At 44.9% G+C, this 25051-nt stretch overlaps 1 protein-coding gene and 1 long non-coding RNA gene across 19 annotated transcripts in view; one reads left to right on the top strand and one right to left on the bottom strand.

The window, feature by feature from the left end:
* KIRREL3-AS4 (KIRREL3 antisense RNA 4) overlaps window positions 1-5964 on the bottom strand; it is a 29327-nt gene extending 23363 nt beyond the window's left edge. The window contains exon 1 of one of the 2 annotated variants that reach the window (NR_120532.1): window positions 5813-5964. This is a non-coding gene — a long non-coding RNA (KIRREL3 antisense RNA 4). Of the gene's footprint in view, window positions 1-2570; window positions 2657-5812 lie in introns of those variants that run through there. The other variant, NR_120533.1, reaches the window with a different exon arrangement.
* Window positions 1-25051, top strand: part of KIRREL3 (kirre like nephrin family adhesion molecule 3) — a 580037-nt gene that overhangs the window by 344653 nt on the left and 210333 nt on the right. The gene's annotated exons all lie outside the window — the stretch shown is intronic.

The following is a 25051-nucleotide window of genomic DNA, read 5'->3' as shown; positions in this document are numbered from 1 at the left end:
TGGAAGAAAAGCCTAGAGGCAACAAGAAGGAGAAGCTGTTGATATGGCACCTTAAAGACAAAGAAAAAGTCTTAACGAGATGCAGATCCCATTCAGGAAAGCTCTCCGAGTCAGTAATTAAAGTATATCCAGCAATGTAGGGCTGGCAAAGTATAAAAGATCAATAGGTTAAATACTTTATGTTGTTTAATCAGATACTTAGCACAAATCAAACATTACCTTACTGAGGTTATTAGGCTAAATGAGGGCACTGCAGTGGTGAACATTCATTACTGAGACACCAATGGATCATGAAAATAGCAAGGTACATCTGAGTCACCTCCAGCCCTGAGATGAAGTATAAGGAGGCCAGAAAGTTTTTAGTCACTGCATCTGTGCTTTTTCTTTAGGAGTGGCTTAGGAAGTTGGGGTTATGAGTTTCCCTAGATAATTAAGCATACCAAGTCTTGAAAGGTATAAAAATAACCATTCCCTCAAAGCTGGGTATACCCACTGACATGCAAAAATGATGTAGATATCCACATTATTCGAGATCATCAAAAGCTTCCTTATTCTTCTTGTATGACAATAACTACTTGTTATTCCAAGCATTACCACTACAGACATGGCAGCATTTGGGTATTGAAGCTGCGAGTCTTAAAGAGAAGAGATTCAAAGGAGAAGGAGGGGCTAACTCGACTCCTCCAGAAATGGGAGAGCTGTGACAGACACAAAGGGATTGGGTGAGCAGCCCCAGGCTTTGGCAATGCCATCTTCTCTGTGAAACTGATGGGATCCGGGAGGAGAGCTCTGTGGACTGGTCATGAATTGCGCTCTGCTGGGCTGGGTGGTCTTGATCTGGTCAAATTACCTTCTTGTCTCTTCCGGTAGATAGCAGTAAAGCCTGATTGGAATTTCTCTGAAAACTAAGGGGAAGCAAAAGGGGAAAAAGCCATAGAACTACAAAAGCATTACAGTGACTGAACACAGCACAGGTTTCTACATGGACACAATCAGAGTTGCGCAGGTCCACCCAGACCATGTGCAGAAATGCCAACTGAGTCTCATTCCCTCCCAAGCTAGCGCAGTCCTCTTTGGGCTGGGGACGGACTGTCTCTGTGTCATTGTCTCCATCTCCCTACTCCACCTCACCCCCAACCCATCTACAGGCCCTGAGTTCCCACACGTCCCAGCCCCACACTGGGTGAGAAGAGGAATGACACTGCCCTTCTTTGCTAAACAGCTTGTCCCACTCTGGCCTTGGTTCCTCCAGCACTCACCTCTCAGACCTGTGCCCTGCCACATATGGAGGTTTCTCCTGATCCATGTCTTTCTGGGTTGGTTTGCTTGGTTACTAAAACATGTTAACTGGCTGGATGTCATCAGGGCTCTACTTTTTTGGAACTGGCCCACTATTTCTCTAATATTTTAAACCAGCAGTTGTCTAACTAGGCCCCTCAGAGCCTTGAGATTCCATGAAGATTTATTTATTTATTTATTTATTTATTTATTTAATTATTTATTTGGAATTCTCATTTTATTCTCCTGAGAGATTATGCATGATCTATTATAAAATATATAGGTAATACAAAGTTCAAAAGCCTGTCATGTTTATAGAATAAACAAATGAAAATTAAACACAATACAGTGTGAGAGAAAATCATGGTTTCATTTATTTTTTCTGTTTTTTTTTGTTTCTTTTTTTTTGAGACACAGTCTCACTCCATTGCCCAGGCTGGATGGAGTGCAGTGGCATGATCTCAGCTCACCACAACCCTAGCCTCCTGGGTTCAAGCCACTCTCATGCCTCAGCCTCCCAAGCAGCCAGGACCACAAGCACACACCACCATGCCCAGCCAACCCCTGTATTCCTAGTAGAGACGGGGTCCCACCACGACAGCCAGGCTGGTCTGGGACTCCCAGCCCCAAGCGATGCACACACCTTGGCCTCCCAAAGTGCTGGGACCACAGGCATGAGCCACCACGCCTAGCCAGTTTCATTTATTTTCATAAGAGATAGGTTATGAGTACATGATGTCAAAGCTTAAAAGTCATCACCAAACTGTGCTAAAGATACGGAGAAATTATGCAGGGAGAAATCTGTGCAAATTCATCTTCTTACTCAGTATAAGGTGGTAAAAGCATGAAGATTTAAACTGCCCCTGTGGGTAAGACAATCAGTGCAGGGGCTGGGCAGGCGGTGCCCAGGAGCACGCAACCACTGTCACCTGCTGCCTTATCCCCCACTTATGCCAATTTTGTATGTTGAGATTCCACGTGAAGTCTCATTTTATAAAAATCTACTTAAGGTGAAAGGTTTGGAAACCTAGGTTTTCCAGAGACTCCAATAATAATATTATTCTATTTTCTTGCCAAAACATACAAAACAATTATAATTTTGAAGGCTTATTGGGTGCTAAGAGTTTTCAACATATTATCTTATTTAAATTATTTTGCAAATGAAGAAACTGAATCATGGAGGTTATGGTTAAGAAACCAGCCTGATATCTCACAGATATGAACGGCAGAACCAACAGGCATCTTTCTGACTTCGGAGTCCTAACTCTGTAGCCCTCCCTGACCTCACTCACCTGCAAACATTGCTCCTGGGAACATCTGTGTTGCTGGTTCCCGAGACAGCACTAGTTTCTTATTCCTTTGCACAGCATAGATAAGGTATAGTCCCAGAATCTAGTGAATCCACAGGACTCTCCTGGCTCAGGTTCCCATTTCCACACACTTCTAGAGGATTCTAATTAGCTTCTAAGGCCTCCTCCCACCCCTCCTTCAGCCCCACCCACCTTTTAGATTCAACAGTGTTTCATCATCGTGATATCTTAGTCAGTGCAAACAGTGTCAGGAACAAAAAATAAGAGAAAGTCACGTTGTCCTGGAAAGCCAGACAAGAACTGACTGTTGCTGCCCTGCTGTCTTGCTATTGCTTCTCCCATTTTGGTAGAGTGGACAGAATTTTTATCATGCTGTTGCCACACAGAAACCTGAGCCAAGACAAGCCTAAGACCAAGCCACCAGGACTGTCCCCCTAAATCTGCAGCCCCCTGAAATGCTTGAGACACAGCCTTCATAAGCCTCTCCCAGGGTGGACGGGCACACACTGCTCCCGAGATGACAACTGCGTTGTGAAAACTGCAGATCTGCGCTCTTTGCAAAGTGGTTCCAGTCCCCAGGGGGACACACAGTAGCTGCCTTCCCTGGGCAGGAAGAGAAACAACTTGAGGTGGGAGGGAGAGCTTTCGAGTTGACAAGTGAAGTGATTTTTAACCTTCCAAATTCAGTTGTTTGTGGGGGGAGTGGAGGGGTGAAGGAGAAAAGAGGCAGGCTTTTCAGGGAGACAAAGGAGGCATTTGTCAGAGCAGAGAGCTGTGCAAACCCACCGAGGATTCAGGCAGTTAGCACCTTGGCAAGTCCCTGCCTCTGCAAGCCCTGACCTAATTTTGAGAGATACTGCTCACATTGTTTTCCAGATAAAAGCAGGCAACAGCGAGAGCTCTCCTGGGTGAGGCTTTGACATCAGGAAAAATTATCCTGACTCAAGTGACTAATCTCCTTTCTTACCCCTTTCCCCGTACCCCAACCCTGCACTTTCTTCTCCATCTCACAAATCTTCGGCAGAGCTGCCAAATCACAGCCACCAACACGGAGAGAGACAGATGTGCTCCACCACCACCTGCCCACAGTGGGGTGAGACCTGTGTTCAGCACAGCCTGTGCCAGCTAGGAACATCTTTCGGTGTCTTCCTTCCTCCTATGTAAAATCTGGCAGTTTGAGCTATCATGTTGAGGACAGGATAAAAGCAAGGAGCGGCCTCTGGGGTGAATGAATGGTCCTCTGCAGACTCCTGGCCTCTGACCCAATAGGCTAGTCATAATATTCAGAGGGAAGCAAAGCCTTTAAAGAAGCAAATCGTTAAAACACTCAAGGTTGTAAAAAAATAAAAAAATAAAAAAAAATAATGGTTGAAAAGCATTGAAGCAGTGTAGAAAAAAGATACACAATATCCATTGACCTTCAAGAGTCTGAGGGGCTCAGACCTCTCACGATGTCGGCTGTGTGGTTGCCCATGTGGAGAGGGCTCAGGATGTGGGCCAGGCTAGACAACCCCTCCAGACAGATGCAGGACATAGCATTAGGGTTACTGTGCTCTGGGGTGAGGGAAGGACATCTATCTGAAGCAAAAGCGCTTCCTACATTACACATGCTCTTCCTCTTTAACTGTTACCCGTAGTTTCTTCTCAATGGAAACCCCTTTCTTAGAGGTCTTCCCAGAAAGGCCAATCCTATCTCCCTCCACCTTCAACATTTCAGAGGCAGATGCCTGGAGGTAGGAGAAAAGGAGAAGCTGCCCATTTAAAATTCCTTTCACTGTTGCATTGCAATATGCTGTGAAAAAAAAAAAAAAAAAAACTTTCAGTTTAGGTATCCTAGATCCATCTTCTCGGGGTTGACTTTACATTCTATCACTGAAGTGGTAAAAGTCCTAGCTGCTAAGTTGCTCATCCTTTAGCAACTTCTAGCAATAAAATCAGTGTCCCCAGTGGAGGTCTTCCCCGCCACCTGTCAGGTGTCCCAACCACGAGCCCTCGCTCACCAGCCTTGTGAAGCTGAATGCAGATACCGAAACACAGCCAAACTGATTCTCAAAGTAGAAATTCATGTGTCCAGAGGCCCTTGAAACTGGGAGCCCGTGATAGGGAGATTCAAGGACATCAGATTCTAGAATCGAGGGCTGTGGCCTCGCTGTGACTGAGGGTGAGATATGTGCTGGGCGTGGGGGTCACCCTCTAGGCAGAAGTGGTATCACCTTCCCCTGAATCGCATGGAGGCAGCTACAAGGTCTATTTTTCAACTCCCCCCTTTGGTGCAACTAAAAATGGCTATAGAGGAACAAAGGTGACATTTTCTGTTTGATAGCACCAGAGACAAAAAAAGTGCCAGGGGCATCCCTGCCCTTCTCCACCTTCTCAGGTTCCACCGTGCACTTTTTATGGAATGTCCGTGAACTTTGGGGCTTGGCCTCAGCCTTGCCATGTCTCACGCAGCCCCTCCCGTTTCTCATTGCCCTGGCGTGTCACATTGAATGCTGCCAGGAGAGAGTCGGGTCAGAGTGTCCGTGTGACCTTGAAAAGAGCTCCTTCACATGTGGTCCTGGGGGATTGGAGTTTGCAAAATGCCACTTCCGGTGCCGCTTTTTTCTCATTCCGTATCTGGTGTTTATATTGCTCTTTACATCTTTCAGAACCATTTCATATCCATTTCCTGATTTGAATTTCATGACAACCCCATGAGGTATCATTATCTCCATCTTACAGCAAAGACGGTGAGGCGCTAGAGAGTGATTCCCCACAAGGTCAAATGCCTACTTACAAACTGAGGCAGCACAGGGGCTTGGCTTCCTGGGCGGGTCCAGCTGGTGCCTCTTCTGCCACCCCAAGTCTGCCCATCCTTCACTGAGCAAGTCAGTCGTTCCTCTGCCTCTGCAAAGCCGTCATCCTCTGCCACCACGGGCCCCAGTACCGCCTCCTCCGTTGGATTCTGTAGATAGTGCACTGTCTGCCTCTCTCACTTGCCTAGTTATTCCATCATTCTCTTGTTTACTTAACTTTTCAGTTGTGTACATATATTCCTCACAAGACAATTACAAACAAGGTGTCTGGCATAAGCTTTATTATACCTGCTCTCTTTTTCCCCTCCCCCACCCCCACAACCCGACAAAACCCAATTAAGAGTGTAGGAGACATTTAACAAATACTGGCTGCTGAATGCATGAATGAATGACTTTTTTAATCAAATATAAATTAAACTGATGTCTCACCCAAAGCAGAACTTCTTCTTGCATTAATCCTTGTAGGGCTTTTTCTACTGGCAACAGAGGACCAGTGAGGTGGCTGGTCCTTTTGTTGTTGGTTCACGGAGGAAGATCTCAGGGAGGAAAGTTGAAAGGCCTCTGTCCTGGTGAATTGCCTGGAAAGTGAAAATCTGAGATTCAGATTTCAAAAAAGAGTAACTCTTTGGTGTGGTAAGGGTAAGGGTAGGTGATGGGGTTGTAATGACAGCATTGATGTTTGGGAGACTGTGGGGATTACAGAAGGTCATGGAGCACAGAGATCAAGGACCAGGCTTCAGAATCAGACATCCTTAGGAACCCAGCCCCGCTACCTATAGATTGAGTGGAGGACTTTGGCAAATGGCCTGACCTCTTGTCCACAGCCCCCTGACCTGTGAAGTGGAGATAATGATATTCTCTACACCATAGGGCTGTTATGAGGATGAAATGTGTGAGCCAAATATCTAGCACTTGCCTACCATTTAGAATGGGCTCAAGGCATGGTAGCTCTTGTTCCTACCACGATAGACTCCCTAGGCAGGCTTGGCCCAGGCTTCCTCTCCTGTCTTGGTTCTTCTTTGTGCCCTAAGTAAAGAAGATGGTTTATATCCATCAACCCACAGAGACCCCAACCCGGGCTTTTTGGCCAGTGGGTGCTGGTTTCACACAAAGAACAAGGGGTGGGGGGTTAACAGACACCGGAACTCAACCAAAGAAGCCCATCCCTTCACTCTGAGGGGCTGAAATTCCAGCCTGCCAGTGACCTCCAGAACCTTGGGTTTTTTTAAAGGAATCCTCCAGACAGATCAGACCTACTAGTGCCTATCTTCCTCCTGGCCCAGAATTGATGAGCCCTCACCATTTCATCTTTTCTTTGGTTAGCACAAGGATGAACTCCGCTTTTTGCCTCATTCTCCCATTGGCATAATGACTTACCCTACCATCATTTAAATATCTGAATTCAGAAACTTTCATTAGGGACTTCCCATGACTTTATGGAGGTGTCATGATTAGACCTGTTATTACCACCCCAAATGGGAAAATTGAACATCCACTGCTTTATGAACCCTTCATCACAATTAATGCTGTCTCCAAAACTTCTCATTTATTGGGTTCTCTGGTATAATCATTCCTAATATGTGTTTCAAGACCTTGTACAAGTACAAATAATTTAAACTAATTAGCTTATTATAAAAAAGGAATGAAAACAAATGGCACATGAATGAATTGTGAGGTTTCATATGGAATTAATATCTCCATAATACCCACAAATTTGGTAAATTCATTATGCATCTATAATCAAACCTGATAAATCCCCTAGATAATTCAGAAGTAATTATGCATGAACTGCTGCCACTTATTTGAAAGTGCTACCAAAATAAGAGATTTATTCCCAAGATCCAGTTAGGCTCCAGGATAACTAAGACTAACCTGACATCTCCTGTCAAAATCAGCCATGAGAAATTACACTGACTCTGCCCCCCTGGATGCTGTCCACTGATATCTGGAAAGAGCATGCATGGTTCTCAAAAATAGTCCCTGTTTGAGACATGGAGTGGAGTTTATCACTGGAATTTGTGAGATTTGGGGAAGATGGAGAGGGATTCCCAGTTGGAATAATTATCAAGACTCAGTGAAACACGCAAACTGTGCACCATCCCACCAATTCCCAAAAGACTTTCTTAGTCTAGCTGAGAAATCCTATAGCAAGGAACCATTTTCTCATTTAGACGTGGATTGCAGTTCTTTTCTGATATGGTTTTGCTGTGTCCCCACCCACATATCATCTTGAATTGTACTCCCATAATTCCTATGTGTTGTGGGAGGGACCCGGTGGGAGATAATTTGAATCATGGGGGTGGTTTCCCCCATACTGTTCTCATGGAAGTGAATGTGTCTCATGAGATCTGATGGTTTTATCAGGGATTTTCACTTTTGCATCTTCCTCATTCTTCTCTTACCACTGCCATGTAAGAAGTGCCTTTTACTTCCTGCCATGATTCTGAGATCTTCCCAGCCATGTGGAACTGTAAGTCCAGTTAAACCTCTTTTTCTTCCCAGTCTTGGGTATGTCTTTATCAGCAGCATGAAAACAGACTAATACAGTAAATTGGTACCAGTAGAGTTGCTAAAAAGATACCCAAAGATGTGGAAGTGACTTTGGAACTTGGCAACAGGGAGAGGTTAGAGGGCCCAGAAGAAGACACGAAAATGTGGGAAAGTTTGGAACTTCCTAGAGACTTGTTGAATGGCTTTGACCAGAAGCCTGATAGTGATATGGACAATAAGGTCCAGGCTGAGGTTGTCTCAGATGGAGATAAGGAACTTGTTTGGAAATGGAGCAAAGGAGATTCTTGTTATGTTTTAGCAAACAGACTGGCAGCATTTTGCCCCTGCCCTAGAGATTTGTGGAACTTTGAACTTGACATAGATGATCTAGGGTATCTAGTGGAAGAAATTTCTAAGGAGCAAAGCATTCTAGATGTGACTTGGGTGCCATTAAAGGCATTCAGTTTTATAAGGGAAGCCAAGCATAAAAGTTCAGAAAATATGCAGCCTGACAATGTAATAGAAAAGAAAAGCCCATTTTCTGAGGAAAAATACAAGCTGGCTGCAGAAATTTGCATAAGTAATGAGGAGTCGAATGTTAATCCCCACGATGATGGAGAAAATTCTCTAGGGCATGTCAGAGGTTTTCGTGGCAGCCCTTCCTATCACAGGCCCATAGGCCTAGGAGAAAATGGTTTCATGGGACGGGCCCAGGGTCCCCACGCTGTGTGCAGCCTAGGGACTTGGTGCCCTGCATCCCAGCCGCTACAGCCATGGCTGAAAGGGGCCAATGTAGAGCTCAGGCCATGGCTTCATGGGGTGCAAGCCCCAAGCCTTGGCAGCTTCCATGTGGTGTTGAGCCTGAGAGTGCACAGAAGTCAAGAATTGGGGTTTGGGAACCTCCACCTAGATTTCAGAAAATGTATGGAAACTCCTGGATGCCCAGGCAGAAGTTTGCTGCAGGGGTGGGAACCTCATGGAGAACTTCTGCTAAAGCAGTGCAGAAGGGAAATGTGGGGTCAGAGCCCTCATACAGAGTCCCTACTAGGGCACTGCCTAGTGGAGCTGTGAGAGGAGGGCCATCGCCCTCCAGATCCCAGAATGGTAGATCCACCAACAGCTTGCACCGTTCACCTGGAAGAGCCGCAGACACTCAATGTCAGCCTGTGAAAGCAGCTGGGAGGGAGGCTGTACCCTGCAAAGCCACAAGGATAGAGCTACCCAAGACCATGGGAACCCACCTCTTGCATCAGCATGACCTGGATATGAGACCTGGAGTCAAAGGAGATCATTTTGCAGCTTTACAATTTGCCCCACTGGATTTCAGACTTGCATGGGCCTTGTAACCCCTTTGTTTTGGTCAATTTCTCCCATTTGGAATGGCTGTATTTACCCAATACCTGTACCCTCATTTTATCTAGGGAGTAACTAGCTTGCTTTTGATTTTACAGGCTCATAGGTAGAAGGGATTTGCCTTGTCTCAGATGAGAGTTTGGACTGTGGACTTTTGGGTTAATGGTGAAATGAGTTAAGAATTTGGGGGACTGAGGGGAAGGCCTGATAGGTTTTGAAATATGAGAACCTTAGATTTGGAGGGGCCAGGAGCAGAATGATATGGTTTGGCTCTGTTCCCACCCAAATCCCATCTTGAATTATACTCCAATAATTCCCACGTGTTGTGGGAGGGACCCAATAGGAGATAATTTTAATCATGAGGGTGGTTTCCCCCTTACTGTTCTAGGGGTAGTGAATATGTCTCACAAGATCTGATGGTTATATCAGGCGTTTTCACTTTTGCATTTTCCTCATTTTTCTCTTGCCATCTCCATTTAAGAAGTGCCTTTCACCTCCCTCCATGATTCTGAGGCCTCCCCACCCATGTGGAACTGTAAGTCCAATTAAACCTGTTTTTCTTCCCATTCTCGAGTATGTCTTTATCAGCAGTGTGAAAACTGACTAATACATTTTCCAACATGACACACCTGAAATTGTAGGACTGTGATTTTAGCCACTCATTCAACCAGGCAAAATGAATTTTCTACCCTTTGGGCTACCATATTTATTTCTAGCTTTCTTAAAACATAGCTCATTATTTATTTTAGATATAGTTCCTATTTGATCATGTGCTTCTTGAAGATTATCACAGCACTATTTATTACATGCACTCATTACATACATATATATGTTCAACAAATTTTAAATATCTGTGCACTAGGCATTGATACATCAGTCAATAAAACAAATAGCTAAGACTTCATGGGGCTGACATTCTAGTGGAGGAGACATGAAATGAACAAATAAAGATGAATCATGTCAGATGGAGATAGGCACTCTACAGCCAGGTAAAACAGGGAGAGGGATATAAAGTACTCCTATAGGCGTGGGGTGCACATTTTAAATAAGATGGTCAGTCCCCAAGAAGGTGGCCACCGAGCAATGTCTTGAAGCAGGGGAGGGACCGAGGACAGGACATCCCAGGCAGAGGGAACTGCATAAGTGCAAAGACCCTGAGGCAGGAGCATGCCTGGTGAGTTTCAGGAACAGCAAAGAGGCCAGCACAAGTGCACTCATCCATTCTCTCATTACTATAAAGAAGTACGTGAGACGGGGTAAAAAGGAAAGAAGTTTAATTGACTCACGGTTCTGTAGGCAGGCACAGCTGGGGAGGCCTCAGAAAACTTACAATCATGGTGGAAGGCAAAGGGGAAGTAGGCCCATATTAGATGGCCAGAGCAGGAGGAAGAAGTGAAGGAGGAGGTGATACACACTTTCAAACAACCAAATCTCGTGAGAACTCACCATCACAAGAACAGCAAGGGGGAAATCCACCCCTGTGATCCAATCACCTCCTACCAGGCCCCTCCTCCAACACTGGGGATTACAATATGACATGACATTTGGGTGGGGACACAAATCCAAACTGTATAAGCAAGCAAAAGGAAGAGTGAAGATTAAGTCAAAGTGTAACAACGAGGCCAGACCCCGGAGAGCACCATGAGTCATGGAGAGGGTGTTGGCTTTCATTCTCAGTGAGATGGAATGCTCTGCACCGTTCTGAACAAAGGAACGGCTCCCTCTGACTTAGGTTTTTAAAAGCACTACTCAGACTGCCCTGTTGAAACTAGACAGCAGAAGACAAGGATGGAAGCTGCGAGACCAATTAGGAGGCTCTGGCCGCCATCCAGGCACAGGGTCCAAGTGACTTGGACCAGGGGGTAGCCTTGGAGGGGCAAGAAGACCAGATTCCAAATTTACTTTGAAGGAAGAACCAAAGGGATTTGCTGACAGATTTGATCTTCGCTGTAAACTTTTGGGCTCCCAGCAGAGTACCTTACACTAAAAGGTGCCTGATAAACGTTTGCTGAATGAAAGGAGTAAACGTATGCATAAATGAAGTATTCAAATAACTTGGACCCTGGTGAGAGGGGTGGGGTTGAATTTGATTAGAGGGAAAGGGGTATACCTCATATATCTCAGTCTCCCTCCTGGGGCTGGGTTTCCTTACCTAGCAGAAACTCATTAAATATTTGTTGGATGCGTGAATAGACAAGTTAATTAAAACGGGCATGCAAGGCTTGGGAGCTTATTCTGATTTCCAGCTAGAAACCCCAGCAGACAAGCACTGGGGCTTGGAGATTTTTCTTTCTATAGCTCCTGGCAGAGTAGCAGGGGTGAGCCTGGGCTCCCTAAATATTGTGAAATGCTGTCCATGCTGAGGTCCCCATCAGACTTGCCTAGAAAAGTGCCTAAAATGAAAAGTGCCGAGCCTCCTGTTTGTCAGTGGTTGGAAGATGAGTAATACTTTCTAAATGCTTAAGTGTCATCATCATTACTAAATTGCTGTAGGAATAAAAATTCAGTTTATACCATTGAGGATCATTAAAGTCTCTTTTAAATCTGATGCCAAAATTGAAATAATTGGCTCATCGGTGGTGCAACATGTGATATGACCACATTGGCTTGTGGGGAAAAACGTTGTCTCAACATGAAGAAAAGAACAGGAGCTTGGGTAGGTAGATTGGTTTTGTTGGCAAAGAATTGCTACATTGCAATTACAATTGACAGCATAGATCATGATTAAAAATACTTGGGGTGGCCGGGCGCAGTGGCTCACTCCTGTAATCCCAGCACTTTGGGAGCCCAAGGCGGGTGAATCACTCAAGGTCAGGAGTTCGAGACCAGTCTGGCCAACATGGTGAAACCCCGTCTCTACTAAAAATACAAAAGTTAGCTGGGTGTGGTGGTGCATGCCTGTAATCCCAGCTACTCAGGAGGCTGAAGCAGGAGAATCACCTGAACCCAGGAGTTGAAGTTTGCAGTGAGCCGAGGTCATGCCACTGCACTCCAGCCTGAGCAACAGAACGAGACTCTGTCTCAAAAAAAAAAAAAAAAAAATACTTGGGGCACAAATTTAGAGTTGCAGAAAAATAAATGGATTTTGCAATTAGACAAGAGTTTTAAATCAATTGGATTTTCCAAGGCATGGTTAAATTTTGTTTCAAGAGGTCAACTGCAGATCAGAAATACTGATACCCAGTGCAGGAAGGCACTAACAAGAACAAAATAAATAACAATAATAATAGATTGAGCTACAGTCTAAGAACAAAGATGTGTTTTAAATGAAAATCATTATTCACAGATGCTAGAGCACAAACCCAGACCGATTCAGTGCTGACTCGAAGGTACAAGGGGGACCCACTGGGCGATCATATCGCGAACCTGCAGATGCTAATGCTGACCTGTTTGGGGGGTGGGGTGGGTTAATTAGCTGCCGGCTGTAAAGCATTATTGCCTTGCTGAGTATTATTATTTTAATAAAAGAGGCTCATGAAAACGTCTCTGGTGGTAACTCATGAAGAATCATTTTGAGGACAAGAGTACTCGTACATCATTCCGAGTGCCGCCTATGTATTTGAGTATCAACAAAAAATTTACTGTTTAAACATAAATCTCTGGGAGAAGTTGAAGTTAATTAAAAAGGTTTAACAGCATATGCATTAGTATTAGCCCTGGCCCTCTTTAGCATGGAAGGAAGGAAAGGAAATAAAATAAGGTGTGTGAGGAAGCAGTAATGTAGGCATTTAATTAAATGTGGTCCAAAGCATAGGCGAAGACACCACCTTATCTGCCATTCAGTACAACGAGGGAGAATGGGAGGCAGGGAAATGTTCCCTGAAGAGCTGTGTGTGTTTTTAATTAACAAAGGCTTTGAGAGTCCTTCTTACCTTTTCTTCTTCAGAAACCTAGAATTTCACCTCGTGCCATGATGCTTCCATTTAGATGTGGAAGGCCTCTGGTGGAACACTGTAGCCCAGTTCAAGTGCATATTCTGATTTATGCCCGGCTATTACTCATGAATTCTTTCATTCATGCCACAAATATTTCTAGAGCTCTCAGTCTGCATAATGCAGGGTACCCTGTAGCCTGAGAGGCTGCGGAGATGGTCTGGTCTCTGCCCTCAAATGGCTCACGGTGGAAGGAGAAAGGCTGGCATACCAGCAGCACCGTGTGGTAAATGCTCTGGGAGAGAAGTATTCAGGATTTGAGGACCACACATGAAGACGCTGGAGGTCTTCATAAAAACTGAATACTGCAATTGGCCCATGACCACAACCGCAGGGAACTCAAGTTGAGAATATTTCATTAGCATTTGAATTGTTACGATGTCAGTCTGCATCCCTTCACTTTCTGGTCCCACTCTATCTTCCTCCAGCTTTTTCCTTCATAACGCCCAGTCTGCACCCCTCTTGCGATATATTCAGAATATGCTGTGTTCACTTCACCTCTGCTCATTTATCCACTCTCCCATTGACTGAAATGCTCCTCCCACTTCAACCCCAACCCCTCCCTCAAGGTTCATCCCAAGTCCTCACCTCTTCCAGGGCATAGATTTTAGCTCTCCTGGGCTGCAACGGTGCCTTGTAGGACTTGGCACGTTCGCTGTTTGTCAGGAGGGCTGGTCAAAGGCACCAGGCTCAAGCTATTTGTGACCAGCACCACACATTTTAGCACTTAAAATATTTGCTAGCTTTGTACATCTATAGATTATTATTTGTTCCATAGATGTTCTTTGACCCTCCAACTTAAAAACTTTAACTCTTTGAGGCATTTAATAGGAGACGGATAAATTCATCCTGCATATTGTTTTCCACAGACTCACTTCAATTTCAGCAATTTGCCCCAATATTTCCATCCACTGTACCATCTCTTTATTCTTCTCACCTCATCTGCAGGTTTTCTGGACATGACTCCATCTTCCTCTAGGATTTTAGTACCAGGCTTTCAGCCCCCACCCCCAACCCATGTCTTCACCAGCTTCATCCTTGGTGATTTCAGTCCTCCCAAGCCTCTGACCTCCTCAGGTCCCAGCAGTCTTCCCCCAAGTGACCTGCATCTACCCCATTTGCATCTTGAAATGCACGACTCAAAACTACTGAACATTCAGCTCCAATTGTCAAAGTTCTTCTCTGTCCTCACTCATTTTCTCACTCCCTCTTGACCTACTTTTTGGCCTTCCCTTGGTCTTCAATCTTTTCATCCTTTCCTATTTTCCCACTTCCCTTGGTGGCTCCAGTCCCTGAACTCTATTAGCCTCATGTTTTACCTCTACTATTAGTAACACTCAGCTTTTCGTCCTTCTGCCTACTTGATTTTCCAGTTCCCAGTTCTCATAGCCCACTATACACTGGATCTACTTCAATCTACCATGCTAGTCCCCTAAATCAAGAGTTATTTTAGCCCCTTTTCAATGACATCCTTTCCCACACTTTCAGCCATTAACCCTATGAGGCTGATGCCACTTCCTTATATCTAGTTCTGGACGATGGCCTGGACTGTAGGCACATAGTTCCAGCTAGACTGAGCATCTGCACGTGGTTTCCTACAAGGTCCCTAACTCTCCATCTAGCACATAGCTTACCTTCCTGCAAAAACTCTTGCCTTTTCTCTGTGTTCTCGAGCTAGAGTTGACATCATGATCTTTTCAATTCTTTCTCCCTAAATGCTCAGGGTCAGCTTTGCTCTTCCTCCCCTCATTCTCTTCATCTTTTTGGTCACCAGTTCATAATAACTCTTTTCTATTTCCTCCATTTCTACTGTCACCAGCTTTGTTAAAATCCTCACGTAATCTCACTGAGATTACTGCTGCCTCCAAACTCCTCTCCCTATCTCCAATTCATCTTCAGTACAATCCTACTCATTGTGTTGCCACATTGATCTTCCTAAACCACAGTTATGCCTTGCTCCAGAATCCCTACTAATGCACTTTTGCCCAAGGATCAAGTCTATATCATCAGTGTAGAGATAAAGATTTGCCATGATATCGCCTCAGCCTACATCTTCAGTCCTATTTCCCACTAGTCACCTTTCCCTGAACCATGACCTCCTCTTTTCCACTTCAATACTCATGTTTTTTCCCTCTGTCTGAAATAGCTTCCATCTGCATGTGTTAAAATCCTCTTCAAGACCATCTCAAATTCCATCCTTCCTGTAAATTTTAGCCCAATCTCTTCAACTATTGATGAGCTCCCCTCTGTGTTTCCCTAACATTTTCTTTATTTGTAATTCATTAGTTTAATAAATATTAATTTATTGAGCATCTGCTATGTACCAAGAACTTTAATATGCATTATCTTCTTTAATTCCCATGTTAACCCTATGAAATAGATACCATTAATATTCTTGTTATAGAAATAGGAAAATTGAAGCTATGCTTGTTTACATTTTCTGCCCAATATTACAGAATTAGTAAGTGGCAGACTCAGTTTTCCAATCTGATTCCAGTGCTCATGACATCTGCCTAGAGTTGTGTCTCCTTTATTACAATATGCCTTGCATTGGATGGATGGATAGATGGATGGATGGATGGATGGATGGATGGATGGGAGGGAAGAAGGGAGGCCAAAGTACCTTTTTTTTACCCTTTTACTTTGTAGGATCCTTGTACTCTGGAACCATGCTTGGTTCACCTTTGAATTTCTCACTTCAAGCCTGACACAGAGGAGATGCTTGATAAATGTTTACTTTGTTCAACTGGATGTACAGTTCAGAATTTTGCACATACAAAATCATAACCCTTGAAGGGACATAAAGACATTCTTTCATCCATCCCCCTGCCTCCAGAAGGCTGTTCTTATGTGACTCTGGTTCTAGCCTACCCCTTTTGTGTCATTCCTCCTACAATTGCAATCTGCCGTAACCACTTTCCTTTCCTGTAAGATGCTCTTGACCTTTATGGGACTTCTTCTTTGCTCCTTGGCCTACTTCTAAGAGGTTCTCTTGGAGATGGTGGTCACCCAAGAAAATCAAACATGTATTTCCTAGAGTAAGAGTTTGCTTGGAAAAGGCAGAGGAAAGGGGATGGGGAATGGAAAGTGCAGGGCAGAGTTAACATTTCTAGTGAGTCTAGCTTGGGCTAGGCCACATTGTAATGTGCTTTCACAGAGAGGCAATTTTCTTCCCCTCCTGTTCCCTGTAGGAGTCCTGGAATAAATGCAATGTTATCTCCCAGGAAGGCATTGCCTAGTGTGGGCATAACCACAGTGTTTACAGGGAGACTTGGCGCAAACAGAGCCTCTTGCTGGTCTCAGAAATGGGGAAAGTGAGAACTAACCACCAACCCCAATGAGACCAGTGCAGGAAGGATTTTGAAGTTTGGACTAGAAGGCAGGAAAGCATCTGTCAAAAATCTATTACTTGATGCACTAACAAGATTGTTGGAGGTCCCTCCCCTCCCATGGGTTATGGAGATCCACCCTTTCCAAAGGGGCCTCTGGCTCTCTGTGAACAGCCCAGCAGTCGCTCACTGGGATCTGGGCTCCATCTGCAGCATCTAAGGACATCGGTACATTTCTGAGCATTTCAGAAGGAAGCTCCTCCCCACTAGACACCTACTTTTCATATAATGGAGAGAGGATCCTTCCCTAACTGCCACTTGAAGTTGCAGAATTGACACGTTCCTGACCTGAGAAAGAGTGGAAGTTGAGGATGTGCACATGTAAGCAAGGGGACTGTGGTGGGAACCTCAGTGAGTATTACGTGGTTTTAGATGGAATTGGATTTACTCTGAGTTCTCACATATGCTATAAATTCATATATAATGGTGTATTTACATAGCATAATAAATGCTATGCAAATATGCTGGAGCCTCTGGGTACAAAGAGAGAAGGAGAAAGACTTGTGTTATGTAATAGGGGTATGGAGTCAGCTGCAAGGGTGCAGTGGGACATGATGCAGCCACTATCCCCATAAGAAGCCAGGAGGCTGGTGTTGTAAATGTCTGCGACCTGTAAATGGATTGGTGAGACATATCCCACTGGCCAGAATGTTATTTGCTCACAGTCTAGGTGGTAATAGCAATTTTCTCCCTTCCTGTTGTTGCTAATGTCAAAGGTATCCTTTTACCTCAGGTATTTGTAGCCAGAATCTGTAAAACTCATGACACCCTGCACCCTGATCTGATGAGAGTGGCAAGTAGCTTTGTGACCACCAAGAGGCTCTTCAGAGACAAGGCCTGGAGTAGAGACCCTGCTAAACCCAGAACCATGACTGTAACAACCATCTGAGCAACAAGTGATGAGGCTCGGGCCAAGAAAGTAGCAGAGGAAGTGGTGAGAGGTGGTTGGTTTATAATATATTTTGAGACAACAGGCTACATTGACAGATTGGATGTGGGTGTGAAAGGAAGAGAAGAGTCTAGGATCACTCACTTCAAGTTTCCTGGTCTGAGTAACTGGAAGGATAAAATTGCCACTGACAAGTTTATCATCTTCTTCAAAGATGAAGAAGACCGTGAGAGGGGCAGGCCTGTGGGAGAAGACCAGGAGTTCTTTTCGGAGCATGTGAAATTTGAGATGCCTGTTACACATTGCAAGTGGAGGGGAGAACTAGGCAATTGGATAGATGAGTCCAGAGTTTAGGGGGTGGTCTAGGCTGTGGATACAAAATTGAGAGACATCAGAGTAGAGTCGGTGTTTAAAGCCATAAGATTGAGAAGAGATCCAAGGACTCCAATATGAAGGTCAAGGGGAGGAGATGCCAGCAATAAGTCAGTGACGTAGGAGGGAAATGACTAGAATGGAGAACCCAGGAATATTCTTTCATGCATGCCTCCATTCTGAGCGACCCCTCATACAGAGTTAGGCATAGTCTTCAACCCAAGGGTCCCATGGTTCATTCCAGATTCAGAAAGAACCCATGTGAAACAGCAGCAAGTAATATGAGAGGGTGTCTCTTTAAGACCATGCTGTAAGGTTCAGACTAAATGCTATGAGGTGTATTAATCTGACTGCTGGACCCTCTTCGCCACACATTTCAGGTACAAGCAGCCCAGAAGGAAAAAGCTGACTTAATTCAGAGGCCAAATTCTTCTCTCAGATCTATGCATGTAATGTATGCAGGGAACAGATTGGAATGCTTTTGATGTTGCTAATCTGAACTGACAGTCTGTTTGCTAGTTCCGGATGAGGATGCCTTTTAATTCTGTGTGTGCGCGTGTGCGTGTGTGTGCGCGCGCACACGCGCGTCTGTGTGTGTGTTGTGTTCAGTTAGTCTTGACAACCTCCTTTCCCAAACCAAAGTGGGTCCCCAGGAGCCCCACATACCCACTGCCCATGGCTATTCCTCAGGGTGGGTCAGTTTCCACTCTACAAATGACAGAAGCTCTCGGGGACCACTCACCAGCTGAAGGGTGAGTGAGATAGACAGAAAATCATAGAGCTTCTATGCCTTATTTTTTTAGTACAATGCAGGGTAAAATAAAACAGTACTGGCTTGGGAAGGTGGGAGATTAATTGTCTTCTCTGGGCACGTTCATTTCATATTCATTGTCACAGTACTGATCGTAATGAAGTTATTTAGTATTCATGCAGATGTCACATCAAGTTCCTCCATAGATGCTTTACTGTAATTTAGCATAAGTTAATGGATATCTATATTAAAGTGTTCCCAATTAAGCAAGTGGCCTTTCTATTCTACAAGCCAGATTGGATTGGATGGCCATGAAGCGTAATCAAACTAAGCCTTCTCAGATCCCAGCCACAGAGGTCAAACCTGAAATGAGTTTAGCTCCTTCTTGTGTCTATTTCACAAGAATCCTAGTGGCTCAAAAATAACTTTGTAAATGACTGATCCAGACAGATGAGTTGGAAAGTGGGTGATTGATGGGCCCAATATATTTGAACAAAATCAACACCAGGGAGAATATTAATTGTACAAGTAGGGCCAGCTAGCAGAGCAGACGAAAGAATAGAGTCAGGATTAGCCGATCTCATCTCCAGCTTGCAGAGCCCTGAGACTTTCAGCAACTGTCCTGGGATGCAATTGGTGGTTGGTTAGCATCTGCCTTCTTAACTCTCCTGGATTAGAAGCTGCCACATTGGAAATGGTTTATTGAGCTCAGTAGAGGTTACTTTTAAAGGCTTAAGGGATTGGGTTCCATTAAAAAATATATACAAACAACTTTTAAATGAGGTTTGGTAAAGCAAAGGAACGTTTTTCCTTTTGCTTACCCAGAGGTACAAAAAGAAAAGGACCCAAAAATCCAAACAGAAATACAAATAGCTGCCTAGATCTTCATTGGAGACAGGCCTGATTCAGTCAATATGTAAGGTTTCTTTTTTTAAAATGTTATCAAAAGGTCAGAGCCAGTGGCCTTTGAAGGCAAATCTCATCTGACAGGTGGCCCTCCAGAGCTTAAGTTTCCAGATCTATTAGCACCGAAGTGTTTCTCTTAACTGGGCTTTGGGATGATTGGGGGGCTGGCCAAGTCATGAAGAAACTGGAAACTTTGGCAATGCAGCCCAGGACTGAGAAACACCAGCGAGATAAATAGAGATGCCTTTCAAATTACTTGTGAATCTTAATTCATTCAATTAAAAAAAAATCATTAAAGTGTACTGTCCAGCCCCCGGGGATGCAGTGGTAAGCAAAACAGAGCTTACATCATCTAGAAAAGGAAATAGGTAATTACTCAATATCCAGACATTGTGCCTGCTGTCACTGGGGCCATGGGGAGACGGGGTGATGCCTGGGTCATTAGCCGGCTTTTGAAGACTAAAGTCCTTTCACATAGCGATTCCTCCACAGCAGCAACCTTCTCACCAAGGTTCCTACACTAAATGAATTTCAAGCCCTCAAGCTGGGCTCCCATTCACTAAAGCTCATCTAAGACTACAACTGCCCACCAAATAACTGCAGTGACGTGAACATATAGGATAAGTGAGGGAAAGATACGGAGGGAGAATTATCCACGGACTATGGGGCTACCCACCCCAGCCCGCCTAAGGCAAAACAGCTGCCTCTTCATCTGAATGCTTCAGCTTTTTGTTAATATTGCTCCACATTTATGCAGTAATGATTTCTATGTCTAATGCAGATTCTGTGACACTAGGCCAGACTCAGTATAGAACACAGAACAACTCTTGGGTTTAGCTCAGCAAGAGGACTGGTGAAACATCAAGAGTTCCTGGGTGCCCTAAGGAGAGGACTGACTTTAGTTGCAGCCAGAGGACAGACAAGTACGTTTTTCCAACAACAGGAGATGATGGAATGAACAGGGAACATTGTGGAGATTTAGATTCTTTAAGAACAAGCAAGGTGTTTCTATTCCTATCTCTCTGGCATGTTTTAGGAAAATTCTGTCAAGAGGAAATGGGATTACTTAAATGTTCCAAATTCTCAAATTCTGAGAAGTCAGTGCTAAACCCCAAAGCAAAGCCCATTATTATTCCTCTTCTGAGCTTCCCATTCCCAGCACATTACAATGCTCTACAAAAATTTGAGTAAGTATAGATTTTACAGGTTTCCATTTGTTGAGCCTTAGTTCCACACGCATACCAATGAAAGCAAACTCTGCAAAGCTAAATTCTCTCCATTCCTCAATATTTAAGCATTTCCCTCTCAGAGGAGCTGCCCCTGCTGCTCACTGACTCATGCTCCCACTGTGCTCTTGGCATGTTTTCCACTGTACAATGGTCATCGGTTTACTTGCTAGTCTTCTCAGCTATCATGTGTATGTCCTTAAAGCCCAGTGCTAGGCTTGGCACATTGTAGACATTGTGTAAATGTTTCCTAGATGGATAGATGGATAAATGGATGGAGCCACTGATTATTAGTTTTTGCTAAGGAAAACCCTCCTCTGCATTTTTATCTTTTTTTAAGTGACCATCCGCAGAGATATCCAGACTTAGACAGAGAAGGTTCTCTTAGGTTCTCCATTCTCCAAGTAGATTTCATCAGCCCAGACAGCACTAGCCATGTTTTTATCAGGATTTAGATGAGTCATTTTTTTCTTTGAATTGAAATAAACCTGTAGGTTGAATTTGCAAGAGGAGAAACTAGCTAAATGTGCCCACCAGGGTTCTGGACAAATAGGCAGAGGCTTGAGCAGGAGGCTGGAGGCTGGGAGGGAGGAAAGTACCCAGAGGCTGACCCATAGTGCTAAGCAGGAAGCACAACGTCTGCAGTGGGAACATGAGGCCAAGGGCCAGTGGAGGGAAAGATAGTGTCGGTAATAGCATTTGGAACATGCAGAAGAGGGAAGAAGCGAGAAGAGGATGATTACAACATGATTCACTAATGCTGCTACTGCTAATTACTGAATTTTCCCAGTTACTCTGAAATCAGCCCATATGGAAATCAAAACTCAGCATACCAGTGAGGAAGTTCCATTCTCCACCTCCAAAAATAGGTCCAGCTAAAAAACTTACTTTAGTCTAGGTTTTCCAGAGTATGATGAGGCAAAGGCAGTAACAGAGTAGGGGAGTAGGGAGGGGCTGAGTCATCCTGCAGAGGAGACAACTCACCACCCTGATCTCTACCCCTCCCCTAAGCAGGCATTGAGACTAGAGAAGTGAGGAGGAAGGGAGGTAGCCTAGTATTACTAAGTGCCTACCCTCCTAGGGACTTTCACATCGCCTTTTTATCCCTCAGTCATCTCTTTTTATCTTCCAGTAATGCCATGATATAGGTGTTACTTTCATTGTATTGATGTGACAATGGCATGCAATGGCATTAAGTGCCTTGCCTAAGGCTATAGAGTAAGTGGTTAAACCGGGATACAAATTCAAGTCCAGATCATCCGGACTCCTAGTTGGCATTATTGCTGCATCCCCTGCTGTTCTGAGGTGGTACAAAGGGCCTAGCTTAGCCCATCAGGCCACAACCGTAACCAGCAAAACAAAGGTCTCAGGCAGATACCAAGACACAAGAAAGGGTGCTGGCAGCAGAGCAGGCAGTAAGCTGGGTCCAGGAGGGCAGAAGAAAAGACAGGAGACTAAGGTAAGACTCAGAGAGCAGTGAGATCTGGGGGGCAGGATGAGGGGCAGACACTCAAATGTCTGTAATGTGAGCCCAACACGAAGGCAGAGCTGCCACATATCCAGTGGCTTTATGCCTTTTTTCTATCAGGGTTAATTCCAAGGTTTGGGCATCACAGACTCTCAACAGAACAAGTGCCAGAAGGGAGAAAGAGGAAGGCACTCACTTACAGGGCATCTGTTAAACGGCAGATGCTGGGTTACCAGTCTCTTAATTTTATCCTCCCAATTCTTTGAAATGGGTATTTCCTCCGTAGCAAGCAAACACAACTAGCTCAAAAAGGAAATAACAATAATAGTCCACATTTATTGAATGCTTAGCACATGCCATGCCCTGGGTATGCCATAAGTATCCATTATTTTATAATGCTAAGGATAGTGCTATTACCCTTCCCATTTTTACAAATGAAGGAACTAAAATTCAAAATTCTATATGACTTCCCCAAGGTCCTAAAAATAGTAAGTGGCAGAGTTGTGAGGTAGCCCCATCTCTGTCACTCTAAGGGGGCTGGTCTTCAGAGCAGACTTTGACTCAGGGGCATTCAAGTCTTACAGGAATCACGTCGCTTCCTCCACTGATCCCTCCCGCTACCTGTAGGCCTGCTGGCCCTGCCCATGACCCAAAAATAACCAAGTTGTTCCCTAGAATGGTTTGTTATTTTCATATTGGGAATGAGAAACAAAGAGGATGTCTTGAGGGAGAAGGACAGGGTGTCTCATTCATGGGACACACTCTGCCTTTTACCTGGTATTTTTATACCAATCGCCTCTTCAGATTACCACAACAATTCTTCAGATCAGTAGAACAGGTATTCCCAGCCACATTTTACAGATAAGGAAGCTGAGGCCTCAAGAGCTTTGATGACGTGAGCAGATATCCAGCTGGGGTCAAAGCCACATCTTAGTCTAGGTGTGTCTGACTTGTGGCCCAAGATCTCTGGTTACTCTGGGCTGGCAGGGGGGCTCGTTGCTGGGGGTGTACAATGGGAACCCAGCATCCAGCCTTCTCCTCCCTCCCTATCTCCTCCTCCAGGCCATCAGCCACTGTTCAGCCTTCTGTCCAACTCTCCCATGGCTCAGAAGCCCAGAGGTGCTGAGGGCCTTGGAGCCAGCCAACCAGCCCAGCCCTTTTAATGAGGAAGCTTCTCTGCTCCCTCCAATCCATAACATAACCCTGAGGTCTAACCTCTGTATATATCACTCACCTATGTGGGACCAGGGAGGAAAAACATGGAGACCGTGATTTGCTCTGGACTGGGAGGGGTTACCTTCTGCCTTGGAGGGAAGCACCTGGCACCCCCCATGAGTGGATTTAGAAGGGAAGCCTCTCTGCAGTAAGCAATGCCCACACTTGCTGTGCCTGCCTAGAGGTGGAGCTGTCCAGCCCTGCCTCACTGCAGACCCTTTTGTTGGGTTCAAGGTTCAATCCTGCTCATTGAGCAAAAGGTCAATCCTTAAAAGAAAAAGTGTTCTTTGTGCTCATTCTCAGACTATATTACTCCTGATCGAGGAGAAGTTTAGGGGCAAGAAGAGCCCAGAAGCTGGAACTGTCCCCACTTGCTGAGTGGAGCAACTGTAGACCAGAGCTGTGAGAAGTGCTGTGCTGCTTTCTTCCCTGGGTGCATATACCCTCCCTCCACACTTCCCTAGTGCAATCAGTCCCCTTGAAGACAGGAGAGGCAGTGAGGCTTAGTGGAAAGAGCACCAGCAAGGGCCTCCGAGAGGGCGCAGACCTGTAGCCTAGGACCGAGGATGGATATTTGCAGGAATTTGATTCTTTACTGAGCAGGGAGCAAGTATTCTAGGCTAGGGGGCAATGGAGTGCAAGAGCTTGGTGAGAGAGGACTGCATTCCACCCGATGCACTCTTTGCCAGGTGCACACAGCAGGTACAAGGGACCTGGTTCCCTTTAAGTCTTTTTTGAGAAAAAAGGCAAACCTTAAACCCTGAGGACCCAAGAGTCAAGCTTCATTTCCCCTGCAAAGCTCCCCGCAAGCCTCTCCAGCCCAAGTGGCGCCTCCACTCAAATCTACAGAGACTTGTTCCGAGTCCATTAGCTGCTACACCTTGATCAGGTCCAGAAGGGTCCCAGGCACCACGAGAGAGGGTAGATGTTAGCCTGGGGGGCTGAAAACTATGGTATTGTGATGAGCACAGGCTCCTGGCTCTCACTGGCCAGCGGTACAATACAGGGAACAATGGCACCTTCCACATTCAATTATTGTGAAGACTGCATGAATGCATGGAAAGTGCATGTCATAGGGTCCGGCACAAAGTAGATGCTCAGCTGTTAGCTCTTGCTGCTCTCACTGTTCAGGGAAAGTAGAGTAGGGTCTGATTCCACCTTACTCAGAGCCTTCGGTACCGGTGAACAGAGCAATACAGACAACACACCCAGTCTGCATGTAAATTGGCCTTCGACACTGGATCACCCCAGAAAAAGAGAACGTGTTCCCTTCCAACTGGAGCTTTGGAGGAAGCTAAGCCAGATTACCACACCTGACCCCCAGAGCAGGAGGGAAGGATGCCCCAGTGCACTCAGGTCTCATTCATGTGGACTACGCTGTACTTTCTGAAGAGGTGGAAGGAGGTAAGAAATACTGTATGAAGAGGGACATTGCAGTGGGAACATGACTAAACCATGTGAACAAAATCTCTGTTACTTATGCTCTTCCTGTTCTTTTCATGTCTACACTGTAGATACGTTGCCAGTACCTGTGGTTCTGCCTAAATAAACATACTTGCTGGTACAAAAACATACACTGATGGATGATGGAAAAGGAAGACAAGACAGTGTTTTTCTTAGACCCTTTTCATTGCTGTAAAGGAATACTGGAGGCTGGGTAATTTGTAAAGAAAAGAG

The sequence above is a fragment of the Homo sapiens genome, chromosome 11, assembly GCF_000001405.40.
Source record: "Homo sapiens chromosome 11, GRCh38.p14 Primary Assembly".
In the NCBI taxonomy this organism is placed as follows: domain Eukaryota; kingdom Metazoa; phylum Chordata; class Mammalia; order Primates; family Hominidae; genus Homo; species Homo sapiens.
Note: the sequence above shows the minus strand (reverse complement) of the source record. Positions and strands in the feature narration are given on the sequence as shown.